This window comes from Homo sapiens, chromosome 7 (genome assembly GCF_000001405.40).
Source record: "Homo sapiens chromosome 7, GRCh38.p14 Primary Assembly".
Lineage (NCBI taxonomy): Eukaryota > Metazoa > Chordata > Mammalia > Primates > Hominidae > Homo > Homo sapiens.
In genome coordinates this window covers 40,053,377-40,074,332 of record NC_000007.14, presented here as the reverse complement: position 1 = coordinate 40,074,332, position 20,956 = coordinate 40,053,377, and the positions used below count along the sequence as shown (strand labels likewise).

General features: G+C 39.1%; 1 protein-coding gene across 5 annotated transcripts in view, besides 1 other annotated feature; it reads right to left on the bottom strand.

The window, feature by feature from the left end:
* The window catches only part of CDK13 (cyclin dependent kinase 13), a 149,325-nt gene that overhangs the window by 25,248 nt on the left and 103,121 nt on the right, over window positions 1-20,956 (bottom strand). For 4 of the 5 annotated variants that reach the window (XM_017012750.3, XM_017012751.3, NM_003718.5 and 1 more), the window contains 2 exons: window positions 11,406-11,507; window positions 11,233-11,310 (listed from right to left, as the gene is read on the bottom strand). In XM_017012750.3, coding sequence (XP_016868239.1) covers window positions 11,233-11,310; window positions 11,406-11,507 — 180 coding nt within the window. Of the gene's footprint in view, window positions 1-11,232; window positions 11,311-11,405; window positions 11,508-19,834; window positions 20,725-20,956 lie in introns of those variants that run through there. The other variant, XM_011515597.4, reaches the window with a different exon arrangement.
* Window positions 18,390-18,629: a silencer, noted in NCBI's record as "fragment chr7:40095303-40095542 (GRCh37/hg19 assembly coordinates)". NCBI's record gives its function as "represses an EF-1alpha promoter that drives an FKBP-Casp9 reporter gene in an ReSE screen in HepG2 liver carcinoma cells {active_cell/tissue: HepG2}" and the evidence as "EXISTENCE:reporter gene assay evidence [ECO:0000049][PMID:32094911]".

The following is a 20,956-nucleotide window of genomic DNA, read 5'->3' as shown; positions in this document are numbered from 1 at the left end:
GCCAGGATGGTCTCGATCTCCTGACCTAGTGATCCGCCCACCTCGGCCTCCCAAAGTGCTGGGATTATGGGCGTGAGCCACCGCACCTGGCCCATGCCCATTATATTTTCTAAGCAATTAATTAGAAAAGCTTGGCCAGGCATGATGGCTCATGCCTCTAATCACAGCACTTTGGAAGGCCGATGCAGGTGGATTGCTTGAGCAGGAGTTTGAGACTAGGCTCGGCAAGATGGGGAAACCCTGTCTCTACTAAAAACACAAAAATTAGCTGGGCATGGTGGCGCACACCTGTAATCCCAGCTACTTGGGAGGCTGAGGCAGAGAATCACTTGAACCTGGGAGGTGGAGGTTGCAGTGAGCTGAGATCAGGCCACTGCACTCCAGCCTGGATGACAGACAGCAAGACTTTATCTTAAAAAAAAAAAAAAAAGGAAAAAAAGAAAGGCCAGGCACGGTTGCTCACGCCTGTAATCCCAGCACTTTAGGAGGCTGAGGTGGGCAGATCACAAGGTCGCGATATCAAGGCCATCCTGGCCAACATGGTGAAACCCCGTCTCTACTAAAAATACAAAAATTAGCTGGGCATGGTGGCGTGCGCCTCTAGTCCCAGTTACTCAGGAGGCTGAGGCAGGAGACTCACTTGAACCTGGGAGGCAGAGGTTGCAGTGAGCCGAGATTGCGCCACTGCACTCCAGCCTGGCAACACAGCGAGGCTCTGTCTCAAATAAAAAAAAAAAAGAAAGAAAGAAAAAGAAAAAGAAAGAAAAAGAAAAAGAAAGAAAAGCTTTATTACAGGAAAGGTTTCAAATTTTATTTATTTATTTATTTTTGAGACAAGGTCTCACTGTCACCCAGGCTGGAGTGCAGGGGTGCAAACAAGGCTCAGTGCAACCTTGACCTACTGGACTCCAGCAATCCTCCCATCTCAGCCTCCCAAAGTGCTAGCATTACAGGTGTCAGTCATCATTCCTGGCCACAAACAAAAATTTAATAATATGTAGCCATCTGAGATCGTAGGGTTCCTACCAGTTTTAGCAGTTGTTTCTTTGAGGTATTCCAGGTATATAAATCATATAACCCATGTTAGAATTCATCTATATTTTTTTCAAATGTATCTTTATCACTGTGGTATGTTACATTATGTGGCAATTACTAAACAATGTTAAAATGATAATGACAGTACACAATATTGGGTAACTTTATTTTCTGATTTTAATGGGAGCACATTCATTGTTTAGCCCTGGGAAGAATGATGCCTTTGGGTTTGAAAAACACATAACAGAAATATACTCACATATACACATACAAATTCACACATATTTCCTGTTAAGGAAGCATTCATTTATTCCTCTCTACTATGGATTTTAATTTTTGTGGCTTTTATATTCTAAGAGTGCTTTAGTTTTATCAGTTTTGATTTTTTAGAACTTCTATAACCATCATCATCTGCATTTTCTCCCCAGGCTACTTAATGTGAATTTTATCAACAGACTTCCTAATACATATTCATCATTATATTCAAAGGAAGAATACCATCCAAGCCTAATAAAAGTACTATTATTTCAATGTAATGCTGTATTTTCCACTTGTTAAGTTAGATGTTGTACATCAGTATTCGTATGTAAGACTGATATACAGCAACAGTTTTCACAAGTGGGGTCCAAGGACCACTGAGCGTCCCCTAGACACTTCAAGGTCTGGCAGGTCAAAGCTATTACTAAGCCATTATTTGCCTTTTTCCATGTGTTGATTTGCACTAATGGTACAAAACCAGTGGTAAAACTACCAGCACCTTAACATGATTCAACTCAGTGGCAACAAACTATATTAACAGGATGTAGTCTTCATTATCATGCAAATTTCAGGGTGGGGAGAAAAGCCAGTTTCACTTAAGAATGTACTTGTTAAGTGAGGTGCAGTGGCTCATGCCTGTAACTCCAGCACTTGGGAGGCCAAGGTGGGCGGATCACCTGAGGTCATGAGTTCGAGACCAACCTGGCCAACATGGCAAAACCCTGTCTCTACTGAAAATACAAAAATTAGCCGGGTGTGGTGGTGCGCACCTGTAGTCCCAGCTACTCAGGAGGCTGAGGCATGAGAATTGCTTGAACCCGGGAGGCAGAGGTTGCAGTGAGCTGAGATTATACCACTGCCCTCCAGCTTGGGTGACAGAACCAGACTCTCTCAAAAAAAGAATGTACTTGTTGAAGCAGTACAAATTGTTAATGGCATTTAATTCTGATATTTGAGTATGTATCTTTTTAATATTCTCTGCGATGAAATGGGAAATACTCATAAGCACTTCTACTGTACAACAAAATATGATAGTTATCTTGAGAAGATGTGCAATGATTTGACTTGCGAACTGAGGCAGCTGCTTTTTTCATGGACCACTATTTTTACCGGCAAAGAAAACTAACAAACTACAGTCATCCAAACTTGGGTATTTTCCAGACATTTTCTCAAATAGGAACAAAGTCAGCTTGTCACTTGAAGGAAAACAACAGTATTTATTGTCAATTATAAAATTGGAACTTTCCAGAGAAATTAGAATATTAGAAAACTTATATCCTCCACCGTGAGCTTAACAGTTTCAAAATACTGAAAAGCTTTTCTGATGAGATCAGTGGTGGTACAAATTATATAACATAAAACATTACATTTGGAAGATCTGTTCAGTGAAGCAGCATTTTTCAAATGACCAATGCATAATATCACAAAATCATCACAGATAAAAGATCCATTCAAAGTGTAAGACAGAACAATGGATTTCAATATAGTACACTATAAAATATTCCTTCATATGGTTTCAGATTACACATTACAACCTGTAAAAAACTAGCAATCATCTAATTTTTGTGGTTTCTAAGAAGAATATGCACCATTATCCAAAAAGGCTATTGAAAACAGCACATCACAGATATGAGGATCCAAGTGTCATGTCTATTAAACCAGACAGATCTGCCATTCCAACAACTTTTATTTTAGAAACTATAGACGTTATAGACTTTAAAACATGTTAACATTATTATGTTAAAATGAATTCATAAATATCTTTAATTTCTAATACGGTAAATCTCAGTAGATACAAAAACTCCCGGGATCTTTAATAATTTGAGCATAAAGAAGTTATGAAACCAAAAAGTTTGAGAAGCACAACTCTACAGAATATTTTATGCCATCAGTTTATGAAGGTATACATGATTCATTTCTTTCAATATGGGAAGCTTCCCTCTTTTCCTATCTTCTGGTACAACCAAAATCTAATTCCTTTAAAGTTTAAAAAATTTCACCTGTGTAAACCACCTAGGCCTGAGGGTTTGTGTGTACTGGGTGAGGTGGCAGATAGAGAAAAGGATTCATTTAATTCTAATCTACTTTCAATTTCTTCACTGATTATAATCCTTTTTATCTCATAAGCAATGTACATTGTGTGATATAAAGGCTCTTCAGCTGACTGCTAGAAGGCTTAGGGTAATGTGATCCTCATGTTTAAAAACAATTAAATATATATATATATATATGGCCACACAGAGCTTTCTGCCTTCATTCATCCCATTTTGTCCCAATGTGTGTTTTCCATTCTCTTCCTCCATCACTTTTTGTTTTGTTTTGTTTTTTGAGACACAGTCTCGCTCTGTTGCCCAGGCTGGAGTGCAGTGGCACGATCTTGGCTCACTGCAGCCTCCACCTTCCAGGTTCAAGCGATTCTCCTGCCTCAGCCTTCCCAGCGGCTGGGATTACAGGTGCTAGCTACCACGCCCGCTAATTCTGTATTTTTGTAGAGATGGGGTTTCACCATGGTGGCCAGGCTGGTCTCAAACTCCTGACTTCAAGTAAACCACCGGCCTTAGCCTCCCAAAGTACTGGGATTACAGGCGTGAGTCATTGTGCCCTCTATCACTTTTTTTTTTTTTTTTTTTTTTGGGATGGAGTCTTGCTGTTGCCCAGGCTGGAGTGCAGTGGCACAATCTCCGCTTACTGCAACCTCCACCTCCCAGGTTCAAGCAGTTCTCCTGCCTCAGACTCCCAAGTACCTGGGATTACAGGTGTGTGCCACCACACTCAGCTAATTGTTTTTTTATTTATTTTTGAGATGGAGTGTCGCTCTCTTGCCCAGGCTGGAGTGCAGTGGCGCCATCTCGGCTGACTGCAAGCTCTGCCTCCTGGGTTCATGCCATTCTCCTGCCTCAGCCTCCTGAGTAGCTGGGACTACAGGTGCCCGCCGCCATGCCCGGCTTTTTTTTTTTTTTTTTTTTTTTTTTTGTAGTTTTGGTAGAGACGGGGTTTCACCGTGTTAGCCCGGATGGTCTTGATCTCCTGACCTCATGACCTCATGACCTGTCCGCCTCGGCCTCCCAAAGTGCTAGGATTACAGGCATGAGCCACTGTGCCCGGCTTGTTTTGTATTTTAGCAGAGACGGGGTTTCACTATGTTGGCCAGGCTGGTCTCAAACTGCTGACCTCAGATGATCTACCTGCCTCGGCCTCCCGAAGTGCTGGGATTATAGGTATGAGCCACCGTGCCCGGCCTCCCTCCATCACTTTTTAATCTATGCTACTTCTATTATAAAATATTTGTAATCTGCCTAAAATACTTTCTGGAACAAAGCAAATTATAAATAAAATAACTCATTCACTATGGTGTAAAGCCATTTAAAGCAAATTAGTGTTATCACTCTTGATCAGTTTTACATGTATCTGTACTATACTGACACTAGGTCTCATCATTCCTGAGCCTATAAACAACCTAGCATTACTGTAAATAAGGTGAGGGAAGAAATATGTACTGAAAACTTATTTACATTTAATTCTCACAACCCTAAGCATGTTATCAGTCCTCTTTTACTTTTGAAGAAAAAAACTTAAGAGCATATGGGACCCTAAACCATAAGCGCAGGAAGTAGCTGAGCTGGCATTAGAACCCAACCCTGTAAGATTCTAAAGGCCACACACTTTTCGGTATACTCCGTTGCCTCATTATAGTCAGATTTGTTTATCAGAAACTTCATTTTCTTCATGTCTGAAAAGAAATTAATGCTATGAAATCAAAATTGAAGCATCTTTTTATGTTTTGTTGTTTTATTTCTGTTTTTTTGAGACAAGGTCTCGCTCTGCTGCCCAGACTAAAGGGCAGTGGTGCAATCACAGTTCACTGTAGCCTCGACCTCCCTTGGGTTCGGGTGATCCTTGTACCGCAGCCTCCCAATAGCTCAGGCTATAGGTGTGTGCTACCACACCCACCTAATTTTTGTATTTTTTGTAGAGACGGGGTTTGGCCACGTTGCCCAGGCTGGTCTCAAACTCCTGGGCTCTAGTGATCCACCTGCCTTGGCCTTCCAAAGTGCTGAGATTACAGGTGTGAGCCACTGTGCCCGGTCAATCTCTTTATAAAATTATAAGTATCTTAACAAAATAAAAACATGCTGAAATATATAAACTAGAAAATGAAAATTTCTCCTCCCTAGTCTTCTTGAAAGTCCATGTTCAGATTAACAATTTGAGTCTTTTGTTTTACCTAAATGAGATCAATCTCAATATAGCCTTCTGTAACTATTCATGCTGCTTTTCCATTTCTTTATCTCCAAATCAACTGTTTCCTTTTTTTTTTTTTTTTTTTTTTTTCTGAGACATAGTCTCACTCTGTCACCCAGGCTGGAGTGCAGTGGCACAATCTCGACTCACTGCAACCTCTGCCTCCCAGGTTCAAGCTACCTGAGGCAGGATGTTCCTGCCTCAGCCTTCCAAGTAGCTGGGATTACAGGCACACACCACTGCGCCCAGGTAATTTTTGTATTTTTAGTAGAGACAGGGATTCACCATGTTGGCAAGGCTGGTCCTGAACTCGACCTCAAGTGATCCGCCCGCCTTGGCCTCCCAAAGTGTTGGGACTAGAGGCGTGAGCCATTGTGCCTGACCAACTATTTCCTTCTTAGTAACAGTACAGCATGCTATAAAATGGATAAACCAAGCTTTCCCCCCATATGGTTCACTGAGAACATATTCCTAAAAAAAAAAAACCAAATATGCCTCAGAGTCTTTATTACTTTGCCATTTCTTCATTCAGATCTCTGCTCAAATGTCACTTAAAGGGAGATACCTTTCTTGACCCTCTGTATCATCTTAGCTCCCATCATTTTTCTGCAGGTTAACTTTGTGATAAAAAGCTGGATACTATTTGCTAGTACCTCCCTTAGAATTCTTGGATTAATATCTTATACAATTTTTCTTTTTTTTTTTTTTTGAGACAGTCTCAATCGCCCAGGCTGGAGCGCGGCAGAGCAATCTCGGCTCACTGCAACCTCCGCCTTCTGGGTTCAAGCAATTATTGTGTTTCAGCCTCCTGAGGAGCTGGGACTACAGGCGCCTACCACCACGCCCGGTTAGTTTTTGTATTTTTAGTAGAGATAGGGTTTCGCCATGCTGGCCGGGCTGGTCTCAAACTCCTGACCTCAAGTGATCCACCCGCCTCAGCCTCCCAAAGTGCTGGGATTACAGGCATGAGCCACCATGCCCAGCCTAATTTTTATATTTTTAGTAGATATGGGGGATGGGGGCGTTCACCATGTTGGCCAGGCATGGTTTCAGACTCCTGGCCTCAAGTGACCCTCCCACCTCGGCCTCCCAAAGTGCTGGGATTACAGGCATGAGCCACCGTTCCCGGCCTAATATCTTATAAAATTTTTCATGTTGTCTTTGTCAAGTACCGATATGTGTGTCATATTGATTTTGTAAAAGAAAAGATTCCAGGTAGTTTTATTTCCTATGTAGTTTATTTATTTATTTTTTGAGACCAATTCTCACTCTGTCACCCAGGCTGTAGTGGAGTGGTGCGATCTTGGCTGACTGCAACCTCTGCCTCCCAGGTTCAAGCAATTCTCATGCCTCAGCCTCCCAAGGAGCTGGGATTGCAGGTGTGTGCTACCATGCCCGGCTAATTTTTGTTTTTAGTATATACGGGGTTTTGTCATGTTGCCTAGTCTGGTCTTGAACTCCTGGGCTCAAGTGATCCACCCGTCTTGGCCTCCCAAAGTGCTGCGATTACAGGCGTGAGCCACCGCACCCAGCCTGTACTTTGGAGTAATGGTTAAAAGTTTAGATCCTAAGGTAACACCTAGCAGTGTTTAAATCTCAATTTTGCCACTTGCTAGTTTTATGACCCTGGACGAATTCTTCACCTCTCTAAGGTTCAGTTTTCTTAACTATAAAGAGAAGACATAGGGTTGTTACGAAGCTTAACTGAGATAATTCAAGTGAAACTCTTCGAATAATGCTGATATTGTATATGAACTAAATAGATGTTAACTATCTTTAATAGAAGCCCTAGTTTCCAATACAATCAGGACCAAGAGTTGGCTGGTTGGGTTTAACAAAAAAAAAATGGGTTAGAAGGAATCGTTTAAAAAAAAAAGGTTAGAAGGAATCGTTTAAAAAAAAAGATACACAGATATATAATTTAAACATTTTATTTTAACTGAAAGTTTATAAATGTACATTTGTTTTCCCATCTTCTGACAAAGGCCAAGGCTTTCTCTTTAAACAGAGGATTCACTGAATGGAATTCTGTATTAGCTCTCTTGTACAAACCACACCCATAACACATCATCAAGGATTTTTAGTTTTGATTTCTTTAAATAAATCTAGAAATTAAAAACACTTTCAAAGCAATCTAATACCACATCTTGGATTTTTATAACTTTTCTAACTTACACAATTACTTGTCCATCCCTAATTAGACAGCAATGTCTTAAAGTTTTTGTAAAGCACTGTATCTACGCTTAAACTATGTAATTATAATAATAAAAAGCATAAAAATTGAAAACTAACAACTACCTCCTGTTCAGCATACTCTTCAACTGGTGGGATAAATACATAGTCTTACTAGAAAGTGACAGCCTACTAGCTACAAGCATTCAGCTTGCCATGTTATCAAGCCAGTTTTTCTTTACAGAGGGAATGAAGAGCATCAATTAATCTAATAAGACTCTTCAAGAGAAGACTGAATAAGAAAGCTTGTACTGAATTATTCTTATGTTCTGGAATAGTTTAAAGAACATTACAAGTACTGGTTTCTAAAAGATGTGTAATAATTTATCAAAGAAAATAATGGGGCTGGTTTTTTATTTTGGAGACATGGTCTCACTCTGTCAACCAGGCTGGAATGCGGTGGTGTCATTAGCTCACTGCAGTCTCGACTTCCTGGGCTCAAGTAATCCTCTCACCTCAGCTTCACGAGTAGTACGGACCACATGCTCACCCTCCAATGACTAGCTAATTTGTTGTTGTTGTTTTTGTTTGTTTGTTTTAATTTGTAGAGACAAGTTCTCACTATATTGCTCAGGCTGGTCTAAAACTCCTGGGCTCGAGTGATCCTGCCTCGGCCTCCCAAATGCGGAGATTACAGGCATGAGCCACCGCATTCAGTCTTTTAATTTCTTTATACTCTCTTTTCATATGAAGTTAAACTAGTAGACTAATTTATATTGCATATATGTGTGAATAAACCCAAGACCAGATCATAGGTTTCTTCATAAATTTTACATTTTATGTATTATAATTCATTTTTATTTCCTGGGTTTATTTTGCTGCTTTTGTCTAGTTTGTCTGTAGAATGCTTAATTAATTTGCTTTCCTTTTCTTATTTAGTAGTATATTTAAGGTTGTGATTTTCTCCTAAGCACAGGGTTATTAGCCCATGGATTTTTATACTTATCACTCTTTTTAAACCTAGATGTTCTAAAGCAAGCTTGTCCAACTTGCAGTCCATGGGCTGCATGCAACCCAGGATGGCTTCGAATGCAGCCCAACACAAATTCATACTTTCTTAAAATATTATGAGATTTTTTTTTTGGAATTTTTTTTTTAGCCTATCAATCAGCTATCATTAGTGTTACTGTATTTTATGTGTGGTCTAAGACAACTATTCTTCTTCCAGTGTGGTCCAGGGAAACCAAAAGACTGGACAACCCTGTCTTAAAGTTTGATTTCTCTTTAATCCAGGATTTTTTAGCATATGTAAATTTTTAGATAGTTAAGAGACTTTGTTGTTTCCATGTTTATATTAATTTCTAGTTTTATTCTATTTTAGAGAATTTAGCCTATAGTATTTCAACGTTTTGGAGTTCCTTCCTCTATTAATATATAACTAACTTTTGTAAATGCCCAATTAGCACTGAAAGGTATATTTCTTTTTTCCAAGAGTATCAGTTCTTCTTAACCCTTTTTACTTGTCTATTGCACAATTAAAAAGGTATGACACATTTTGGGAGGCTGAGACAGGATGATCGCTTGAGTCCAAGAGTTGGAGACCAGCCTGGGCAACATAGAGAAAGCCGGTCTCCAAAAAAAAAAAAAAAAAAAAAAAAAAAAAAAAAATCACCCAGCATGGTGGTGCATGCCTGTGGTCCCAGCTACTTGGAAGGCTGAGGCAGGAGGATTGTTTGGCTCCAGGAGGTCAAGGCTGCAGTGAGCCATGACTGCCCCAATGCACTCCAGCCTAGGCAACAAAGTGAGATACTGTCTCAAAAAACAGGAAAAAAAAAAAAAAAAAGTAACATAAAAGTTTTCTATGTTTCAGGTGAACTCCTTCCCTTCCCTTCTTCTTTTTCATAATGTTATTAAAAGTGAGGCAACTGGCTGCTTTGGAGTTGAAGCACTACTAGTTTCTGGCTTCGGGTACTTCTGACTATAGCCAAGTTATCCCCAGAGAAGAAGCAGGCTCTAACTAGGGCACTCATCTTTCCCTGCTGTACCCTATAGTAAAAACCTTGCCTAACCACCAAAAAGGGCAATAGTAAGATTTTTAGTTTGATTCAATTTGTCTGTTTATGATATGATGTTGAGGTCCTTCTCTGGTTACTATTTGTTGCTTTATGTTCATTTTGTTCAGTTGGTAAAGTAAAATTCTGTAAATCTGTACCCCCTATCAATATCTTTCCTAAAAAACTTCATATATATTTTGAAACTTTCATGGAAATTTTATAAGTTGCACGTTTACATTATTACATATGAAACTGAAGCCCCCCCACCTTTTTTTTTTTTTTTTTTTGAGACATAATTTCGCTCTTGTTGCCCAGGCTGGAGTGCCGTGGCACAATCTCGGCTCACAGCAACCTTCGCCTCCTGGGTTCAAATGATTCTCCTGCCTCAGCCTCCCAAGTAGTTGGGATTATAGGCGTGGGCCACCACGCCGGGCTAATTTTGTATTTTTAGTAGAGACAGGGTTTCTCCATGTTGGTCAGGCTGGTCTCAAACTCCCAACCTCAGGTGATCCACCCACCTAGGCCTCCCAAAGTGCTGGGATTACGGGCGTGAGAAACCGTGCCTGGCCAAAGCCCATTTTTAAAATTAAAATTATTTTAAAATATAAGACGGGCTGGATGAGGTGGCTCATGCCTGTAATCACAGCACTTTGGGAGAACGAGGCGGGGGGCAGTCACCTGAGGTTGGAAGTTCAAGACCAGCCTGGCCGACATGGTGAAACCCCGTCTCTGCTACAAATACAAAAATTAGCTGGGCATGGTGGTGGGCACCCGTAATCTGAGCTACTCGGGAGGCTGAGGCAGGAGAATTGCTTGAACCCAGGAGGCAGAAGTTGCAGTGAGTGGAGATCATGCCACTGCACTCCAGCCTAGGTGACAGAGTGAGACTCTATCTCAAAAAAATAAAATAATAAAATAAAATAAAAGATAAAGAGAAAAGCGACTAAAATGTATGAGTAATTGCTTATGAACTAGGTCCTATGATAGGCTCCAAATAATGAAGGTCTACGCTAGGGGGTATATGCATGTATTTTAGTGTGTATACACACATATATAGACACATATTTTTATGTGTATTTACAAGAGTATTTTTAAACAATACCCCAAAACATGAATTTTTCATTTCTTTCATAATTAAAAAATATGTATCTAGCATTCATTCTCTCCTACATTTACTCTTCCTTGCCAGTCTTATCTTTTGGGCCTCAAGTCCTTTGACTTAAAAAAACGCACACATGCACGCACGCATGTACACATACACATGCACCCACCCAGGGGCTTTGATATCCTTAATTTCACTGGAACAAGTATCAAAGTGCCTACATTTCAGTTTGTCCTCCATTTAGCAGTCATAAGCCCTCCAGAGAACCATGTTGTTCTCTTCCTGAAAAGACAAACTTGGGAGAGTTTAAATTTCCTGTGGAGTATGACACTCTCCCAATTCCCACCAATATTATAATCAGCAGCTTACCTTATTAATTCTAGTTGTGCAAGTTCCTGATTTGCTTGAAATATAGGTTTTTTAGTGAAGAGTTCGCCAAGGATACAGCTAATGGAAAAAATACCCGTCATTACCAAATGATCTATTTTAATTCACTACCAAAAGTTTCAAGTAAAATAAACCAGTAAATAAGGCTATCTTACCCACAGCTCCATACATCAATGGCTGGTGTGTATCGTTCTTCTCCCAGTAGCAGTTCAGGTGGACGGTACCATAAAGTAATTACCTTGTTAGTATACGGCCGACTAAAAAACACAGAAAACAGTCTTTAGAGTTAGTATTTGTTGGAGTAAGACAGATTCTCTGAGGAAATATTATTTTACTAAAGCAATCCCTATAATCCTAACTAAAAACACTTTCATCTGCCTACTAAAAAATACAGACATCCAAAGGTATCTAATATAAGATCATAAAATGTATGTGAGGGCAACCTGTTTAACTAAAAATTCCCTTAATATATGAAGATAAAAACAAAAAGTAGTTGACTGATAGGCTGGGCACGGTGGCTCACGCCTGTAATCCCAGCACTCTGGGAGGCCGAGGCTGGCAGATCACGAGGTCAGGAGATCGAGACCATCCTGGCTAACACGGTGAAACCCCATCTGTACTAAAAAAAAATTAACCAGGCGTGGTGACGGGTGCCCATAGCCCCAGCTACTCAGGAAGCTGAGGCAGGAGAATGATGTGAACCCGGGAGGCAGAGCTTGCAGTGAGCCAAGATAGCGTCACTGCACTCCAGTCTGGGTGACAGAGCAAGACTCCGTCTCAAAAAAAAAAAGTAGTTTACTGGTATTAACTGCAATTTGGTCAAAGCAAAGCTTTAGTATCAACTCAATTGTTGAGCACTGTTTTTCCTTTCCATAAAAACCTTTAATGGGATTAACTGATTTAAAGAGCGTTGACTGGTTCTGATCAAATCTTGCTAAATTACTAATGGATGACAAGATATAGTTCAAATAAAGACCACCTAACAAAAGTTTTCAATTGATCATATTTTTGGCAATTTTTCACTGATTCACATACCCACTGTAGTGTGTGAATAGAAAAAAGCACACAAATGCAGAGTGTCTACTCAAGTATCTACTTGAGGTCTACTCTGCAAAGTAGCAATACATATCGTACTTTATCAAATAATTCCTTTATCACCTTCCGAAAAGAGGACATAAATATACTGCTACCTCTTTATTTGCCACAGACAAGATTATTTAGTCAAGTTATATTAGGGTCAGGTTTGACGAAAACAGCACAAATTATCTGGCAATGTAAAGTGTTCAACGCTCAGAGAATGGTCACGTTCTAGCTGATTGACACGCTTGAAGAGAATCCTAAGTAGTCAGAGGAGGTTCTTCGGCTGATCTGTAGTTACTTACTTCAGGGAGATCACATATATATTCAGATCAGCTATAAACATCTCTTTATATCCAGATGTTTTCCAAATCACAAGGACTCAAAAGCCATAGCAAATTCCCCAGAAAGGCTGTATTCCAAGCCCATTTACCTAAGCTTGGCTTGGTCCTGGACCAGTCTTGTTAAGGAAATGGAGCATTCAATTTAGAAAGCAATTCCCTCTTGCCACCTATAGATTTGCAGTTCCAGGCAGTGTAAGATCTGCCTGACCTGCTCTGCCCCCATCCAGCCAAATTTCTCCAAATAACTTAAGCACTAGCATTATAAAACTATCAATTTGGGCATTATAGCATTACCACAGATAGGACTATAGTTAACAGTGCTCCAAAGCTAGCAAAAACATTTGACTTTGGTAAAAACTGTGAAAAGAGGACAGAATAAGATGAATATTTTTAATAGTAAATTAAGATTAGGTTTTTCTAACATTATTAATGTACTTTTCTCAGTGATTTTTGCTTGTTTACTGGAATCACTTATCTTCACATAATGAGCAAGTCTTTCAAATTTTAGCTACTCTAGTTAAACTGAACTTAGTAATTCTTTAAAATTATGCTCACCTCTTTATGCTTTAGCCCCCCCGCCCTTTTTTTTTTTTGCGCTGGAGTCTCACTCTTGTCGCCCAGGCTGGAGTACAGTGGCGCAATCTCAGCTCACTGCAACCTCCGCCTCCCGGGTTCAAGCGATTGTCCTGCCTCAGCCTCCTGAGTAGCTGGGATTACAGGCACCCGCCACCACTCCTGGCTAATTTTTGTACTTTTAGTAGAGACAGGGTTTTGCCATGTTGGCCAGGCTGGTCTCAAATTCCTGACCTCAGGTGATCTGCGCACCTCGGCCTCCCAAAGTGCTGGGATTATAGGCGTGAGCCACTGTGCCCAGCTGCCTTATCCCCTTTTAATAAAATCCTTTCCCTATTTTTCTCATTCAAGTGCTATACTTCCTTTACAACACAGTAAAAGATGCATATTCATAAAGTCTAATCTCTATTAATAATATATTTATCTTCACATTCTTAAATTTACATCATACTTACCTGTCTTAACTCCCTATTTTGTATTTTCCCAGAAAGTTAAAAAACCTCGTAACATTCTTTATTATGAACCCCACACACAAAGCCCAAACAATGCTGGGCACAGGTCAGGCACCTTAATGTATATTGCCCTCTAACTTTAGATGACACATGATTTACTGGGTGGAAGAACAAAATTTGTAAAAATTATGACAACTAGTTTCTCAAACACATCAAGGATCTATGAGTATATCAAACCTATACAATGGTGTTATAAAAGTGCAACTGGATAACTAGGCTCAAGGAAATGTTTAAATTTATATAAATCTATCTACAAATAGTTAATTTTTATTTTACTTTAAAAAATATTTTTAGTGTCTTGTATTTTTTAAAAAATCTTAAAAATTAAAAGTATGTTGAATCGTAGAGAAACTAAACAAATTCAGGTGACTAAAAAGGAATAAGTAAAAGATTATTTTATATATTGTATATCAAATTCTAAGCAATATGTAGCATCATCTAATGCAATATTTAGCAGTCACCTTAGCAAACTAGAATATACTTTTTATTAATTGCTATAATGTTTTATTAATTCAGACGTGAAAATAGTAAATTTTCAAAAATAAACACAAAACCACATGAAATATATTTCTAACTGTACAGAAAAATATTTAACGTGTACTAATTAATGGCCTTTCCAAATGCTTAGTTTCTGTTAGACAAGAAATAAGAACTAGGCAAAATACTGAGACAAAACATTCAACTGTAAAATTTAATCTAGGAAGTTGAATTTTAAAACACTGATGTAATTTCAAAAATATGGAAATGTTTTGATTTATGAAGCAAACAAACATTCAGACTGATACATACTTTTTATAAAACAAAAAGTACCACACTCTAAAAATTATTTTTACATTCAAGGAAGTGTCAACGGAGTAGAGATCAAAGACTATCTGTTCATTGATAGATTCCAATACTTTGCCTCTGAACAATCCCAAGAAGGCTGGGTGCAGTGGCTCATGCCTGTAATCCCAGCACTTTGGGAGGCCGAGGTGGGTGGATCACGAGGTCAGGCATTCAAGACCAGCCTGGCCAAGATGGTAAAACTCCATCTCTACCGAAAATACAAAAATTAGCCAGGCGTGGTGGCATGCATCTGTAATCCCAGCTAATTGGGAGGCTGAGGCAGAGAATTGCTTAAACCCTGGAGGCAGAGGTTGCAGTGAGCTGACATCGTGCCACTGCACTCCAGCCCGGGTGACAGAGCGAGACTCTGTCTCAAAAAACAAAACAAAACAAAACAAAAAACAAAAAGCAATCCCAGGAATTCCAGAGATGGAGGGCAGGGAAGATGAGATACGGTTATGGCCTTCCCTACCTTAAGGCCTGATAAGCTGCACCGTATCCACAACAAACCAAGCAGTGTGATAAGGAGTGTGCCCCTTGGCTGGCACGTTTTCCACCTCCTACTGGTCTAGATATATATAGAAAAACAGAACAAAATCCTAGATCCTTGAAGTATTTGGGGGTTCTAGATAATCTCAGTTAAAATTTATAAAGCAGGGTTGCTGCCTTTGTTAAAGACCATTCTAAGTGAAAAAAATCATATAAAATGAAATACCTAAACCAGCTCTAAAATGTTTCATTTTTCCAACAACATATGATAAAGTCTGTACTTCTTTCTTCCTGCTTGAAGGCAACCCCCCCATGTACTTCTTTTATACTATAATTCATACTGTTTTGAGACAAAGAGAGTCTTCAGTAAACTAAATTCATCATATACACAAAATGCCATGTCATCTTTAAGACATTCACAATCCATTGCAGAAAAATCTATCAAACCTACAAAAGAAATCTGGGATCTATTTTCTAACACCTACCCAGCTTTTAATGTCAAAAATCCAAGTGTCATTCTTGATTCATCTTTCCCTCAAATTTCCAAACAACTTCTGCCAATTCTACATCCAAAATAGATCCCCAATCCAAATACCTAGTCCAAGCCATTATTCTTTTCACTGGTATGACCACAACAATATCTTAACTGGTTTCCTGGCTTCCATCTCTAATTGCACCCCCCCGCCCGCCCTGCCCGTTTTTGTTTTTATTATTTTATTTATTTTTTTTGAGACAGAGTCTCGCTCTGTTGCCCTGAATGGAATTCAGTGGTGCAATCTTGGCTCACTGCAACCTCTGCCTCCTGGATTCAAGCAATTCTCCTGCCTCTGGAGTAGCTTGGATTACAGGCATGCACCACCATGCCCAGCTACCCTTAACTTCTTTTCAGTTTTTTTATTAAGCATAAAACCAGGTATCAACTGCTTGCTTAAAACTGCCCAGTGATTTCCCACTGCAATCAAATAAAATTTAAACTTTACTTCAGTTGATAAGACTGTACAGCAAGGATCTTACCTCCTATTACACTGGGCAACCTTTGACCTTAAACCTCCCAAGTCTGTTCTCAGGCCGTACTGAGTTCCTTCTCCTTTGTACTTGGAATGTTCTTGGCCCAGGTCTTCATTAAGTTTTCCCTTTCTCATCACTCTGGTCTTAGCTCCAATTTACTTCCTAAAAGAGGCCTATCTTAACTCCCCTAACGAAAATTACCCAATTATCCACTACCACCCCTACTTTGACACTATAGTCGTTATTTTATTTGCTTTGTAGCACTCAGCTATTTTAAATTCCTCACCCTACATATGCATTGCCTAACTTATTAATACTTTCATATAACATAACTACATAACAATAAACACAATCTTTTCTCTCATGTTCTTTCCCCCTATTTGAACTCCTGTTTTTCTCCTTTTGATATCTTCCAAGAAAAATAACTTTTAAATTCCTCTATCATCACAGTGCTATAGAGAAACAAAACCAATTTTTTCCCAACTGATGCTGTCATCTAAGATCAGCTGTCTTACTTGCCCATTCTTATTACACAAGCAAATTTAGAAGTCCTATAAGTACCTACATTATTACCTTTTGCTAAAAAATGCATCTCTGTTCTTCTTTACTGTCTCAGCAAACAGCCTCACCATTCGTGGCAGATACTCATAGCTGCCCTCTAAAAATCTGTTACTCCTCCCTTCTATGGCAGCTGTCCAGCTCTGCTACATTTCCCATCCTCACTGCAGTTAGGTGTGGCCACATGACCAAGTGCTCTCCAGTGGAACATAAGCACGTGTGATAAGTGCCATTTCTAGGCCTGGCTCATTACTCTCCTCCCTCCTCTTTTCTCACCTCTGGCACCAGCATTGGAAGGCATGTGTAGAAGATGACAGATCTTCCAGTCTTCTTCTCTGAATAGCTGTATTGAAGCAGTCACCATTTGACTTGGTGGTATGGTTAAATAATCTTAATTGTGCACAGGGGTAAGCAACAACTGCTCAAAATTTTTTTTTTCTTTTGAGACAGTTTTGCTCTTGTCACCTAGGCTGGAGTGCAGTGGCGTGATCTCGGCTCACTGCAACCTCCACCTCCTGGGTTCAAGCGATTCTCCTGCCTCAGCCTCCCAAGTAGCTGGGATTACAGGCATCTGCCACCACACACAGCTAATTTTTGTAGTTTTAGTAGAGATGCGGTTTCACCATATTGGCCAGGCTGGTCTTGAACTCCTGACCTCAGGTGATCCATCTGCCTTGGCCTCCCAAAGTGCTGGGATTACAGGCGTGAGCCACCACGCCCAGCCACCACTCAAGATTATTAAGTGAGAAATACATATATAAACTTCTCATTCTTTAAGCCACTAACTTTTGTGGTTCTCTTTGTTACAAAAGTTTAGACTATCCTAACCAACAAATCATTCATCCAGTTGCTTAAGCAGAAACCTTACAGTAGGGGGTGGAGGCAGGGATGTATCTCACAACACATTCAACCATCAAGGTCTAACAAGTCTACATCCTTATGATATAATTAATCTGTCTTTCCACTACCTGTGCCCATTCCTTGGTTCTAGCTATAGTCATCCTATTTAGATTTACTGCAACAGCTTTCTTAAGTGATTGTTCTTGCTTCCAGACGTATAAGGCCAAACCACTTTCCAAAGTGCAGTCAAAGTGATAGCGTGAAATGAAACATGAATATGTTATGGCTATAGTACACATTGCTTCCATCTAGAGAATACCTACACAAGGCCTATAAAATCCATTATCATTTGGTTTTTGTTCCAATCACACTAAACCTTCAGTTCCCTGAGGCGGGTGAGCAAATGTTCATTTTCCAGAGAAAGGGGATAAAGCCAGGGAGAGAACAGAGCTGGCAAGAAAACTTTAAAGAAGTTAGTGGTACTTTAATTGTATTTTAAATATTTTTAATAAACTATTTTTTAAAAAGCTTTTAAAAGGTAACAATGACAAAAGACAAATGAAAATGACCGTTACTAAGGACAAGGAAAAACACCTGATTTACTCAAAAATTTTGCATAATAGGTACCATGCCTCACTTTCTACCTCTCTAATGAAAAAGAAGCAAATATTGAGAAAGTGTGCAGACAGAAGTATTTAATCATAAAAGCAAGTTCCAACGTAGGTGGAGTCAGAAGAGAATAAGGACAATTTCAGGTATCACCCAATTCAGTAATATAGTATACTATCAAACAAAAATCCACGTTACGATTAGGATGCTAATATTAAATCCCGTTAACCGTTTACAAATGTAAAGACAAAAGTAAAAGAGACTGAAACTATGTTTTGGTTCCAGGAAATTTAAAGCCCAGGAAAATTAAAGCACGTTGTAATATGAAAATACATTATCCAAAGACAGACAAATAAAAGAAAATCCATCCGGGCGTGGTGGCTCATGCCTGTAATCCCAGCACTTTGAGAGGCAGAGGCCTAAGGATTGCTTGAGCCCAGGAGTTCGGAACCAGCCTGGCCAACATGGTGAAACCCCACCTCTACTAAAAATACAAAACAAATTAGCCAGGTATCACGGTGCATGCCTGTAATCCCAGCTGCTGAGAAGGCTGAGGCATGAGAATTGCTTGAACCCAGGAGGCAGAGGTTGCAGTGAACCTAGATGACACCACTGCACCCCAGCCTGGTTGACAGAGCAAGAAAGACTCTGTCTCAAAAAAAAAAAAAAAAAAAATCCAGAATCCTCAAAAATGAATTTCAAACTTGCGCTATTAGATTTGGCTACCAACTGTCAACATCGTAGAGATGATCTTGTTTAGATCACACAAAGAAGAAGCAAACTGATGTGACACTACATATACGATGCTTTTTTCTTTCATGGATTAAAAAACAAATTACATTCTTGTGGTGTGTCTATACCCAGTATTTGCACAAAAAGCAAATTAACTCACAATGAAAAAGAAACAGGACTGAAAAACATATAGTCGACTTCTTAGATGTTATCAAATAAATGTGTACATACAAAAAAGAAAAATCTAAAAATGAAATGAACCACTCCACTTTACATAATTAGATCAATTCCAAGCAATAAACTCAATAACCCAGGAAAACACACACACACACACACACACACACACACACACACACACAGTCCTTCTGCCATTAAATTGGAAAACAAAATTTAGTAACTTCAATAAGTTGTTATTGGATGGCAAGAAACTAAACTTTGTAAAGACCCAAAAATAATGGTCTCAACGTTAACTATTGTGCATTTCAATTTCTACTTTTTTTAAAATAGAGATCTCACTATGTTGCCCAGGCTGGACTCGAACTTCTAGGCTCAAGTAATCTCCACATCTTGGCCTTCCAAAGTGCTAGGATTACAGGCAAGAGACACCAAGGCCAGTCCTTCTGCTAAATACTTTCATTTGTAAATCTCATTAATATTTTTTAAAAGAAGGCAGACACTATTTCTTTGTCTGCCAGGAAAGTAACACATTAGAAAACAAAATCAAACAATTCTTTTGTTTTTCCTTAAACCTTAAGTGATTAACCAAGTATTAAAATTTAAAGTCAGGCCAGGTGCCGTGGCTGACCCCTGTAATCCCAGCACTTTGGAAGGCCAAGGTGGGTGGATCACCTGAGGTCAGGAGTTCAAGACCAGCCTGGACAACACAGTGAAATCCCATCTCTACTAAAATTACAAAAATTCGCTGGGTGTGGTGGCAGGTGCCTGTAATCCCAGCTACTTGGGAGACTGAGGCAGGAGAATCGCTTGAACTCAGGAGACAGAGGTTGGGTTGAGCCGAGACTGCGCCATTGCACTCCAGCTTGGGAGACAAGAGCGAAACTCCATCTCAAAAAAAAAAAAGTCATCAGACTTTAATATAACTTTCATGGGAAAAATTACAGGTAATTTTAAATATTTGTTGCTATCAAAATATTTTTTGTTTATAGATTTCTCATTAGATATTTCAAGAGCTTTCAAACTGCTTAAAATATAATTAAATCCAATATGACAAAGGGAGATTCAAAAGTAGAAATATCACATAACTTCCTAATCTGCTGGAAGATTAAACCTACAGCATAACTCATTTGTCAAAAATATATTTGGAGGATGCAAAGACAAAAAGCAAAATTCAGCAGACCCTTTACTAAAAAAGAACTCTAAAAATTGCCATCAGCCTAATGGTACCTCTAAAGCAGACTTGAGAGGCCCCTAGAGTTCTCTACCTGGAAGATACTTCTAGGTAATCAAGGCTGAATTCAGAGTCTTACCAGAGAAGCACTCCCATATAATGAAAATAATCTTTCTGTCAAAAGATCCTGAGCTCTACTACTTATTGGTTGTGTGATCTTGCAAATGCACTTAAATTTTCTAAACTTCTGTAACTTTAAAATGTACATAAGAATGATACCTACATCATCCATCTCAACTTTCTTTTAAAATAATTCTTGTGAAAGGAAACTATGTATAATAAAGTGATGTACACAAACGTTAGTTAAGTTTGTTCTTTCCTTTTCCCTTCTTTTTCTTAAAAAAAAAAAAGAAAAATGGTGGTAATATAAATTATAATCATGTACTATAAATAATACATAGAATGAATAATATACTCTAAACACATAAAAGAAGATGTGCCCAATGATGCCTGTGGGATTCAGGACAGATTTCAAAGGCGGTAGGGCCTGAATTGCACACTGAAAGAAAAAAAAAATTTGTCAAACTCAGGTGAGAAGTATAATTACATACAAAAGAAACAGCTTATGTAGATTCACAAAGGCATTCAAGAGCACAGCAAGTTTAGGGAACTACAAATAGTTCAACATTGCTATTATCAGGGGGGCTGGAATGGCAGAAGAGAAGACCATAAGGGAGAAAGACCAGAGGACAGAAAAACCAATACAATTCTATTTACAATGGCCTATATGA